We start from the raw sequence: 12,612 nt of genomic DNA, 5'->3' as shown, positions 1-12,612 counted from the left end.
ATCTGCCATCCATCTGAAATTCATTTTTCATATGGTATAAGGTTAGAGTCAAAATATATTTTAAAAGTATGAAAATTCTATTGATCTAGCACCCTATGTTGAAAAGACTACCTTTTTTCTACTCAGTGAACTTTTACTTTTCCCACGATTCAGGTGACTGTATACCTTTAGGTCTTTTTCTGGACTCTAATTTATTACAGTGGTAAATCAATCCACTCTTGTGCCAAACACTGGCCATTTTATCTACTGACAATGCAGGTTATGACATCTGGTAGAGCAAATCCTTCAGTTTTGTTCTTCATGATTGATGCAGCCTTATCAATTTATGAAAAAAACTTTGATTTTGATCAGAACTTACATTGATTGTAAATTATTTTCAGAATTCACATTTACTCTTCTGATCTATGAACATAATATAATTTCCCATTTATTTATGTCTTTGTTAATTTCTTTCAAAACTATTTTGTAATTTTCAAGGCTGGGCGCTGTGGTTCATGCCTGTAGTCCCAGCACCTTGGCCAAGGCAGGAGGACCACTTGAGCCCAGGAGTTCAAGACCAACCTGGGAAATACGAAGAGACCCTTTCTCTACAATAAATAAAAAAAAATTTAGCAGGGTGTGGTGGCACACACCTATTGTCTCAGCTACTCAGGAGGCTGAGGTGGGAGAATCTCTTGAGTCTGGGAGGTCGAAGCTGTAGTAAGCTGTGATTGGGCCACTGTACTCCAGCCTGGGTGACAAAGCGAGATCCTGTCTCAAAAAAAAAAAAATCTATTTTGTAATTTTCAGTGTAGAGGTCTTATGCATCTCTGGTTACATTTACTCATAGATGTCATAGATGTTAGATTTTTTAATGCTATTGTAAATAGTGGGCTTTAATTTTTAATTTTCCAACTTTTGTTACAATACATAAAAATTCAACTAGTGACTGTTAAATTTACTTCTTAATTTAAAAAGTGTATCATTAGTTTGGCTTTTCGATGTACTAGCCATGGCATCTGCAAAATACGTCAATTTGATTTTTTTATTTCCTATATTTTAATTTATTTTTCTTGCTTGAATGCAGTTGCTACAAACTACACTATTATGTGGAAGAGAAATAAATATCGATAGTGGACATTCTTGCCCCATTCCTGCTGTCATGATATTTACTGTAAGATTTTAGCGTATTCTCTTATCAGTTTAAGGAAGATCAATGACATCTATTCCAAATTGCAAACAATTTTTTCATGAAATTAGATTTTATCAAATCCTGGATTTATTGGGATGGACTTATAATGTCTCTGTTTTATATAATTTGAATTACATTGATTAATTTTGCATTCTTATATTAAACCCTCCTCCATGGTTCCGATATACTATTATTTTTATGTATCACTTGATTTAATTTGCCTATATTTCCCTGTGAATGTTCACGAAGGACATTGGCCTATTATTCTCCTTTCTTCTCGTGTCTGTGTGAGGCCTTCATATCAAGGTTATACTGGCCTCATAAAATGAATTAGGACACATTCTTTCATTTTTTTATTCCATAAAATGGTTTGTGTAGGATCAGTGTTATTTCTTCCCAAAATGTTTGGAAAAATACACTGATAAAATTTGAGATTTGAGTTTTACTGATGAGAAACATTTTACTAGTGGATACAATTTATTTAAGAAATATCAAACTATTCACATTAAATATTGTCTGTCACTTTTGATAAATTGTGTTTTTGGGAGAAAGAGGGTTTACCCTTTTAATCTAAATTGTCAACTGTATTTACTTCAAATTTTTATAATATCCTCTCATTATTTTGTTAATGTCTTTTTAGTCCTGATATTATTTATTGTGTTTTCTCTTTTTTTTTTTTTTTTTTTGAGACGTAGTCTCACTCTGTCACTCTGTCACCCAGGCTGGAGTGCAATGGCACAGTCTTGGCTCACTGCAACCTCCGCCTCCTGGGTTCAAGTGATTCTCCCGCCTCAGCCTCCAGAGTAGCTGGGACTATAGGCGCATGCCACCACGCCCGGATAATTTTTTTTTTTTATTTTTAGTAGGGATGGGGTTTCACTATGTTGGCCAGGCTGGTCTCAAACTCCTGACCTCGTGATCCACCCGCCTCAGCCTCCCAAAGTGCTGGGATTACAGGCATGAGCCATTGCGCCTGGCTGTGTTTTCTCTCTTTTATTCCCCTTGATCACTTTTATTAGGGATACATCCATTTTATTAATCTTTTTAAATAACCAAATTTGGCTTGTGAATTTCCCAAAATGTACATCTGTTTTCCATTTCACTGGGTTTTTTGTCATATGTTTATTATTTTCTTCCTTCCCCTCTTACTAGGCTTAGCTCTTCTCAGCTTCTACAGATAGAAGCTTAGATCATTTATTTTCAGCCTTCTTCTTTTTAACTATGTGCGTATTAGGCTATAAATTTCCCTCTAAGCACTGCTTTAACTGCACCTGTCAATTTCAATATGCTGTATCTCCATTATCCAACAGTCCACAGTGTTTTCTAATTTCCTTTGTGATTTCTTCTGTGGCCTATGATTTAGAGGCATATGGCTTAATTCCCAAGCACTTGGAGATTTTCTAGTTGTATTTATGTTTTTATATCCAGCTTAATTCCATGGTGGACAGAGAACAAACTCTGAATGATTTCAATCCCGTGAAATGTGTTGGGACTTGCTCCACGATCCAGCACGCGACAATCTTGGTGAATGTCCTGTGTGCTAATGAAGAGACCGTGGGTTCTGCTGTTGCCAGTGCAGCGGTCTGAATCACTTGTCAATTAGGTCAGGTTTGTCAACTGCGTCGTTCAGAACTTCCATATCCTTACTGATATTTCTGTCTGCTTATTAAATCAGCCATTGAGGCATTGAGAGGCAGGTTAAAGTCTCTCTGTATGAACATGGATTTCTTTCTTCTTCAAGTTTGGTCAATTTTTGTTTCACATAATGTATGCATTGATGCTTACTTGGGGCTGTAATAGCTTCCTGGAGTGTTGATTCTTTCAGTACATGCCCATGTCGGTCTTGAGCAAGGCACCTCACCTTCACACCTGTTTTGTCTGACATTTCTATCACTCTACTTGCTTTCTTCTGGTTGGTGTTTACATATTCTACCTTTCCCATTTATTGTCCTTTCAACCTGCTTTGTGCCCTTGAGGACTAAGCTCTGATTTTTTTAACTTGCCCAAATTCCTATCTATCTAAGGAGTCTGGGGAGTCATGCCCTACAAACCATAAATTCTCATCAGATGGAATTTATTTAACCGTACATATCGTGAGTGACTTACTTTCCAATCTGACTCTGGCATAACATTACATGACAAAGTAGAAAATCAAAATATTTTACCCTAAACCATGTTTGTTTGCCGTATTTTGAAATGGCCCTGCAAAGTCATCCTTGGTGGGGGTAAAATTTGCATCAGTAAAGAATCTCTATTAACATAGCTAGATCTTTTTCTTCCAGGCCCTCCCAATCCTGAAGAGATTAACTGGGAGTCTAGCACCCTTTAAAGGCGAACAGGAAAGATTTTTCATCTATTGCCTCCAAGGGCAGCCTCTGTAAGACTTTAAAAGAACCTTGGTCTCCACAATGCTTTATCTTAACCAGAACATTTCCATTTGATCCCAGGTCTTTTGACAAATGCAAGCAACTGTCAGCTAGAAAATGTTTAAATTTACCTATAGCCTGCGCCCTCCACCCTTCCCCCCACTTTCAGTTCTCCCACCTTTCTGGACCAAACCAATGTATTTCTTAAATGTATTTGATTGATGTCTCATGCCTCCCTAAAATGTATAAAACCAAGCTGTGCCCCAGCCACCTTGGGCACATGTTCTTAGGACCTCCTGAGGGCTGTGTCATGGGCCATGGTCACTCATATTTGGCTCAGAATAAATCTCTTCAAATATTTTACAGAGTTTGACTCTTCTCATTGACACCCTTATGTAAGTATATAAGGAGTGTATTAGTCTGTTCTCATGCTGCTAATAAAGACATACCCGAGGATGGGTAATTTATAAAGGAAAGAGGTTTAATGGACTCACAGCTCCACATGGCTGAGGAGGCCTCACAATCATGGTGGAAAGCGAATGAGGAGCAAAGTGACGTCTTACATAGCAGCAGGCAAGAGAGTTTGTGCAGGGGAGCTCCCATTTATAAAACCATCAGATTTTGTGAGACTTATTCACCAACACGAGAACAGTATGGGGGAAACTCCCTCATGATTCAAGTATCTCTACAGGGCCCTGCCCTTGACACATGGGGATTATTACAATTTAAGGTGAGATTTGGGTAGGGACACAGCCAAACCATATCAAGGACTGTGTCTTTTAAGTGCCTTACAACTAGGTTTTATTTTTTGCATGCCATCTGACATTATTAGCCTTTTCCTCAAGGTATTTCACCCATTGTCTTTAACACAATTTCTTTGTGTTTGGTTCGCTGTCACCTTGCTACTTGTTTTCTGTTTGACTCATCTGCTTCGTGTTCCACGTCTTGCCTTCTTTAAGATGACTGAAATCTTTCCATTATTCCTTTTTCCCCTCTCATCTTGCTAGGTATACATTCCTTCACTATTTTTTTCACAGTTATCCTAGAGATTTCAGCATTCATCCTTGACTAGCATATAAGGGTTCAATGTGAATGGAGACTTTGCCCATTTCCTGCTCTGCCAGAACTGAGGTGCCGGAGCTCCAGCTACTGCCAGCCTGTGCGTCACCCTCCCCCTGCATTTAAATGTACTCATCACTGCTACTGTCGCACATAGTGAATGTCTATTATATTTACACCAGGATTTACATCCCCCCGCCTTCTCATTCTTTCTATTTCCATGTTTCTGTCTGAGGTTATTTTCCTTCCATCGGAAGTGCTCATTTTAGAATGTCTTTCATTCAAGCCTGTGGTGATGAATTCCCAGTATTTCTGCTGAAATGTCTTCATTTCTGAGGCATACGTTCCCCAGTATAGACTCCTGAGTTGCATTTCTCTTTTTATTTGGGCACGTTAGAACTGTCATCCCACTGTCTCTGGCTGTCTGTTTTGGTGAGGACTCAGCTCTCCATGTTATTTTTTGCTTTTGTGATGGCAGCACATCATTTTTCTCCAGCCACTCTTAAAGTTTTCTCTTTTTCCTTTTCCACAGTTTTTCCACCATGTGTCAAACTGTGGTTTCCTTTGCACTTATCTTGCTTGGTGCTGCAGAACTCTCTAAATCTGTGGACTGATGACTTTCATTCATTTTGGAATGTTCTTAATCCCCTTTTCTTCAAATGTGCCTTCTCTCCTTTAGGGGGTACAACTGCATATAGAATGGACATTTTTACGGGGTGTCACGTGTCTTTTCTTCTGTTCATTTGTGGCCTCTGTGTGCTTTAGTTTAGATTTTTTTAATTCACTGTTCATTTCGTTCTTTAACCCAGAGTTCTGCTATATCTAAAGTGCAGCTAGATCCAGCCATGGAGTTCTTAATTTCAGATATTATAATTTTTGGCTTTTGAATTTCCATTTAGTTATTTTTATGGATTCAATTTCTTTGGTAAAATTATTTTCTGTTGTCATTTATTTTCCCCATCTTTTCCTTTATTTTTTTGCATGTTTTCATCCTGGTTATTTTTAGGTCCTTATTTGTTACTCCACTATCTCACCACTGATTCTGTTCTTGGTGTGTGTGTTTCCTTCTTGGTTTTTAGCCACATGTCTTTTGGCATGCCTAGCAATTTTTTTTATTGGTTGTGGGACATGATGTATAAACACAAACTATACAAGGAACACATGATGTCCTGCATCAGGAAATATTCACCCATTCTTCTGGCAGGCAGACAGAATGGGAAGATGACCCTCCAGATCCAGTGAGTGGCTGAGAACCACAGCTGGGGACATTCTTGGGCTCACCTCTTCTCTACCATGGAACGCTTCAGTGAGTTCAAATGCGAGCCTGGCGGGCTCCCTGGAGCCTCCTGCCCAGGGTCTTGGTCTCTTTGGCACACGTGGTGTTCGGGACACTCCGCTCTGCTGTTAGAGGGTTTCTGCTTAGATTTTAGCTTTTCACACGGTGCAGCTTCAGAACTTGGCAAATGTCAAGTGACTGTGTGCCTGGGCTCTTTAAGTCTCCACCCCTCTCTCTCCAGCACAAGTGATGCTATAAGCTCTTCTTGCTTTCCTGTCCCTAGCACTGTTCCTCTGGCTGGGCCATGCCTGGATCCTCAGCTTCCAGCCATGGGAGGTTGGCAAAGGCCCCAGGAAAGTGTGGCTGTGATCGTCACCTTACCTCTCAGAGGTCCCTGCTCTCTGAACTTTAGTCCCTCTAGTCTCATTGCTTCCACAGTTCTCCGACACCTTTAAACAGATTGCTTCTGTGTGTTGACTAGCTCTTCTGTGTGTTCTCAGTGGGCAATGGGAGTTAGCTGCTCAGAGGAGAATCGCATCGGGTGTTCTTAAAGGTGTTTGCTAGGAAGTAGATTTGCTGGGTCGCACTTTATAAGCATCTAGACTTTTAATAGGAACACCCAATGGTCTTCTGTATCCATCATGAAGGGCTGGGTGATGCTGTGGTGACAAATGGCCCCCAAGCCCCAGTGATCACAACAGCAAGGACATTTTTTTCACCCGTGCTTCATGTCCATGTGGTTGGCTGTGCTTCTGCCCCACACAGTCCTCACTCCAGAACCCCGGAAGACGCAGGGCGCTCTCTCTGGGCCACTGTTGGTCACTGTGACAGGGAGAAACGCAAGCACAGTGGACCACATGCTGGCTTCTCTGTAACGAGGTGACACTTGCCACTCCTGCTCAGCCATCACTGATTAGAGCAAGTCATGGTCACATGGCTGGGGGAAGGCCTGTGATGAGCACTACCGTCAGAGAGAGGAGTATGTTTTCTACATATCTTCACCAAATTTGATAACTGGAATACTTTTAATATTGCTTATCTGATAGTTGAACAATAGCTTATTTCTTAAAAATTTGCATTTCCCTAACGAATGAGATAAACAGACTTTTCATATGTTTCTTATATTCTATGGGTTCATGGGGGAAAAGCAGTATTTCATGACAGGGAGGGGTAAAGTGTGACATATATACAATACTTATAGAATCTCCATTACAAATTATATGATTCACATTCTTGATAGTCCTATTTATTTTGTACACTTGATTTGACAGGAATCAACAGTACCGTGTTGAATTTCTCGTTACAGCTGGGTCTTGTCTATTTACCTAATATATCTAACAGGTTTTCTTGATATATTTCGGTATTCGATGTTGGACACATAAACATCTAACGTGTGTATCGGCTGTGTATTAGACATCACAACTTTATGGGGTATAATAACTCTTATTAATATAAATTGGTCTGTTTGTCCTTCTTAATGATTTGTGCTTTATTTTCCGCGGATACTAATATTGTCACTCCTTGGCACTTTTTGTCAACATTTGCCGCTGCAAATGCCTACATCAGTCCTTTATTTTTAAGCCGTACATCAAAATGTATTAAGTGTCCCTTGTAAATAACACACAGTTGAGCTCTAATGCGATCCAAGTCTTGCCCTCCTGCTGCCATGGAGCAGAACCTGTGCCAAGCCCCTGCTCCCCCAGCATCCTCTTACTTACTCCTCTGGCTTTTACCCTCAATTCATAAACATGCTTGAGTCTTTTGCATCTGAAGGAAAAACAAAACCAAAGGCCTTTTGACTCCATGTCCTTTGCTCACTGTTAGCAAATCCTCTCACCTCTGTGCTCGCCCAGGCTGAATGTGGTTCTTCCTTCTTCCTTTCTCATTCGCAGGTGCCTCAGAACTGCCCTGTGTCCCCTCTCTGCTCTGGCATTGCTTGGATGCCCCCACCTGTCCTGCCCTTCCTGGGGCCCCCTCACTTTGCTCAGATTCATGGACACGATTGGATGCGATCCTCTAGGGAAGCCATCCCCACCCACATCCCTGGCTCCACGGAAGTTCTGAGCTGCCACCTCCCCGTGGGTCCCATGCGCTATTCACAGCTCTGCAACCACACTGGCCCCCAGTGGACCAGAAACTTCTGAATGCAGGACTGAGCTTTTTGTCTCTGTGCCTGCAGCACTGGGTGAGCATGCAGCAGGATGGGCATGTGTGTGAGCAACACTGGGCAGACATGCTGCAACGTGGCCCGTGTCTGGGAAGCACCAGGCAGGCATGCAGCAGGGTGGGCACATGTCTGAGTTGTACCAGGTGGGCATGCAGCAGGGTCGGCATGGGCCTGGTACCAGGTGGGCATGCAGCAAGGTGGGCACATGTCTGAGTGGTACCAGGGCGGGAATGCAGCAGGGTGGGCACATGTCTGGGCAGCACCAGTCAGGCATACAGTAAAGTGGGCATGTGTGTGGGCAGCACTAGATAGGCATGCTACAAGGTGGGTGTATTAGCCTGTTCTCACATTGCTATAAAGAACTCCCCAAGACTGGGTAATTTATAAAGAAAAGTTTAATCGACTCACAGTTCCGCAGGCTGTCCAGGAAGCATGGCTGGGTAGGTCTCAGGAAACTTACAATCCTGATGAAAGGCAAAGGGGAAGGAGGCATGTCTTCCATGGCCAGAGAAGGAGGAAGGGTGGGGGGAGATGCTGCACACTTTTAAACAACCAGCTCTCCTGAGAACTCACTCACTAGCATGAGAACGGCAAGGGGAAATCCGCCCCCACGATCCAATCACCTCCCACCAGGCCCTCCTGCAACACTGGGGATTACAATTTGACATGAGTTTTGGGCAGGGACACAATCCAAACCATATTATTCTACCCCAGCCCCTCCCAAATCTCACGTCTTTCTCACATGGGAAAACACAATCATCCCTTCTTAACAGTCCCACAGGTCTTAACTCATTTCAGTATTAACTCAAAACTCCACAATCCAAAGTCTCATCTGAGACAAGGCAAGGCCCTACCACCTATGAGCCTGGAAAATCAAAAGCAAGTTAGTTACTTCCAAGATACAATGAGGGTAATGGCATTGGGTAAATACACCCACTCCAAAAGGGAGAAATCCACCAAAACAAAGGGGTCACAGGCCCCATGCAAGTCCAAAACGCAGCAGGGCAGTCATTAAATCTTAAAGCTCCAAAATAATGTCTTTTGACTCCATGTCCCACATCCAGACCACACTGACGCAAGGTGTGGGCTCTCAAGGCCTTGGGCATCTCCAGCCCTGTGGCTCTGCAGGGTACAGCCCCCTTGGCTGCTTTTATGGGGTGCCGCTGAGTGCCTGTGGCTTTTCCAGGTGCGTGGTGCAAGCTGTCAGTACATCTACCATTCTGGGGTCTGGAGGACAGTGGCCCTCTTCTCACAGCTCCACTAGGCAGTGCCCCAGTGGGGACTCTGTGTGGGGCCTCCAACCCCACATTTCCCCTCCACACTGCCCTAGTAGAGGTTCTCCGTGAGAGTTCCAGGCCTGTTGCAGACTTCTGCTTGGACATCCAGGCATTTCCATACATCTTCTGAAATCTAACCAGAGGCTCCCAAACCTCAGCCCTTGCCCTCTGTGTACCCACAGGCTCAACACCACATGGAAGCCACCAACACTGAATGGCTTGCACCTTCTGGAGCCATCATCTAAGACATATCTGGGGCCCTTTGGCCATGGCTAAAGCTGGAGTGGCTAGGATACAGGGAGCAGTGTCCCAAAGTTGTACAGGGCAGTGGAGCCCTAGGCCCAGCCCATGAAACCATTCTTCCCTCCTAGGCCTCCACGCCTGAGATCGGAGGGCTGCCGCCAAAGTCTCTGAAGTGCCTTTTAGACATTTTCCCCATTGTCTTGGCTGTTGACATTCAGCAACTCATGCAAATTTCTGCAGCTGGCTTGAAGTCCTCCCCAGAAAATGGGTTTTTCTGTTTTTAAATCTTTTGAGGAGTCTCATGCTGTCACCCAGGCTGGAATGCAGTGGTGTGATCTTGGCTCACTGCAATCTCTGCCTCCTGGGTTTAAGTGATTCTCGTGCCTTAGCCACCCAAGTAGCTGGGATTACAGATGTGCACCATCACGCCCAGCTAATTTTTGTATTTTTAGTACAGATGGGGTTCCACCATGTTGGCCAGGCTGGTTTCAAACTCCTGGCCTCAAGTGATCCACCCGCTGCAGCCTCCCAAAGTGCTGGAATTACAGGCATAAGCTACTGCACCTGATGGGGATTTTCTTTTCTACTACATGGTCAGGCTACAATTTTTCTAAACTTTTATGCTCTGCTTCCCTTTTATTAATAAATATAAGTTCCAGTTTTAGATAATCTCCTCGCTCATGCATATGACCATATGTTGTTAGAAGTAGCCAGGCCACATCTTGAATGCTTTGCTGCTTAGAAATTTCTTCTGCCAGATACCCTAAATCATCACTGTCATGTTCAAAGTTCCACTGATCCCTAGAGCAGGGTTACAACACCACCAGTCTCTTTGCTAAAGCATAGCAAGAATGACCTTTACTCCAGTTCCCAATAAGTTCCTAATTTCCATATGAGACCTCCTCAGCCTGGACTTAACCGTCCATATCACTATCAGCATTTTGGTCACAACCATTCAACAAATCTCTGGGACGTTCCAAACTTTCCCTCCTCTTCCTGTCTTCTTCTGAGATCTCCAAACTCTTCCACCCTCTTCTCGTTACCCAGTTCCAAAGCTGCTTCCACATTTTCAGGTCTCTTCTCTTCTCTTCCTGGTACTTCCTGGTGCCAATTTTGGCACTGCTATAAAGAACTACCTGAGTGCTCACTTTGGCAGCACATATACTAAAATTGGAATGGTACAGAGAACATTAGCATGGTCCCTGTACAAGGATGACAAAGAAAAATTAAAAGGAAAAAAATTTTTAAAAAAGAACTACCTGAGTCTGGGTAATTTATAAAGAACAGGAGTTTAATTGATTCCCAGTTCTGCAGGCTGTACAGGAAGCATGGCTGGGGTGCCTCAGGAAACTTACAATCATGGCAGAAGGCAAAGAGGAAGGAGGCACATTTTACATGGCCAGAGAAGGAGGAAGACTGGGAAGCAGGAGGTGCAACATACTTTAAAATAACCAGATCTCATGAGAACTCACTATCGTGAGAACAGCAAAAGGGAAATCTGCTCCCATGATTCAGTCACCTCCCACCAAGCCCCTCCTCCAACACTGGGGATTATAATTTGACATGAGATTTGGGTGGGGACACAAATCCAAACCATATCAGTGGGGACTTGCGTGGGCAGCACAGGGTGAGTATGGGGCCAGGTGCACATGTGTGGGCAGCACCGGGTGGGTATGGTGCCAGCTGTGCACATGTGTGGGCTTTGCAGCCAGGCATCCTGGGTTTGAATCTCGGCTTCACTGCTCAGAATTCCAGGACTGGGAGCAAGTCAGGTAAACTGCCCACCTCCTTTCCTTCACCTATGAATAGGGATATATGTAATTTGCATCATCTTTATCGAGTTACTGTGAGTGCCTCATGGGTGGAGTGCCTGATGAGGGCCCCCTGTCGTCACTGGTGATGGTTTTGTTATTATTGTTATTGATTTGCTGGTGGCTGGAGGCATTAGGCACACTGCAGACAAAGGCTGAAGAGGCTGTTTTTTAGTCTGTCTCTGTCGATCTGTTTAGTTCCATCCTTTAGTGAATCTCCACAGCTCTCCCATGTGGTGTGCTTCTTGAGCCCCTGTGAGTCTGCAGTCACCTGCCTTTTGCCCAAGCCTGTGCACGACATCTGGGCTGATGGTGGCATTGTTGAGCCACAACAAAGCCCCATCCACAGCAGCCACAGGGCTGTGTCCCGTTAGAACTAATTATCTCCAGACCACATTCTTCAGATAAGGAGCATTGTTCTTTGACAGCCGAGGATGGAAGTGGTACCTAACATGCAACTACACTGGCTGTGAGGCTGGAGGCCTCAGACCGACTCCTCTGTTGCCTGGGAGATGGACAGGGAGGCCATGGCAGCACGGAGGCAATAGAGGGCTGGGCCTAGACACTGACTGAGAAGTTGATTGGCAGGAGCTGGAGGGCAAAGGTCACAGGAGGAGTGGACTGGGTCTTTGTGCCACCTGTGTTCTCAGCACCACCTCCAGCATCCCCACCCCCACCCCCATCACTCCTGCCATACTAAGAGCTCTCCACCTGCCTACCCTGAGTGTCCTGAGACCCAGGGGCATTGCTTCCACATCCTGCCACAGGCCATGTGCTTGGATTGGGTGCTTTTAGAGAGAAAGCTGGCGTCAGGCTGAGCTAACTTCCTTTGGATCTTAGATGCCGTGTTAGATCAAGTTTTTCAGAGCAGATGCTGAGCCAAAGATTCAGGTGCAGGTGATTTTCCGAGAAGCTGCTCTCCGGGGAGAAGGGGTGGCGGGAGCAGCGCAGGGAAGATGTCTTACTCTGTTTTGTGTTGCTATAAGGGAATATCTGAGCTTGGATAATTTATAAAGACAACAGGTTTATTTGGCTCACAGTTCTGCAAGCTGTACAGAATTATGTCACTGGCATCTGCTCGGCTTCCGGTGAGGGCCTCAGGTTGCTTCCACTCATGATGGAAGGTGGAAGGGGAACAAGAATGTCACATGATGGGAGAGGAAGCAAGAGAGATAGGAGGAGGTGCCATGCTCTTTTTAACACCAGCTCTTGTGTGAATTAAGAGTGAGAACTCACTCACTA

General features: G+C 44.0%; 1 pseudogene, besides 2 other annotated features; it reads left to right on the top strand.

Annotated features, from left to right (window-relative positions):
* Nucleotides 7,542-8,108: an enhancer, noted in NCBI's record as "H3K27ac-H3K4me1 hESC enhancer chr14:104869977-104870543 (GRCh37/hg19 assembly coordinates)". NCBI's record gives its function as "activates a minimal SCP1, AML or CMV promoter by ChIP-STARR-seq in naive and primed H9 embryonic stem cells {active_cell/tissue: H9 hESC(naive and primed)}" and the evidence as "EXISTENCE:reporter gene assay evidence [ECO:0000049][PMID:30033119]".
* Nucleotides 8,109-8,675: an enhancer, noted in NCBI's record as "H3K27ac-H3K4me1 hESC enhancer chr14:104869410-104869976 (GRCh37/hg19 assembly coordinates)". NCBI's record gives its function as "activates a minimal SCP1, AML or CMV promoter by ChIP-STARR-seq in primed H9 embryonic stem cells {active_cell/tissue: H9 hESC(primed)}" and the evidence as "EXISTENCE:reporter gene assay evidence [ECO:0000049][PMID:30033119]".
* Nucleotides 10,700-10,805, top strand: RNU6-684P (RNA, U6 small nuclear 684, pseudogene; annotated as a pseudogene).

This window comes from Homo sapiens, chromosome 14 (assembly GCF_000001405.40).
Source record: "Homo sapiens chromosome 14, GRCh38.p14 Primary Assembly".
In the NCBI taxonomy this organism is placed as follows: Eukaryota; Metazoa; Chordata; class Mammalia; order Primates; family Hominidae; genus Homo; species Homo sapiens.
The sequence above is the reverse complement of the archived record's forward strand: the minus strand, read 5'-3'. Positions and strand labels throughout refer to the sequence as shown.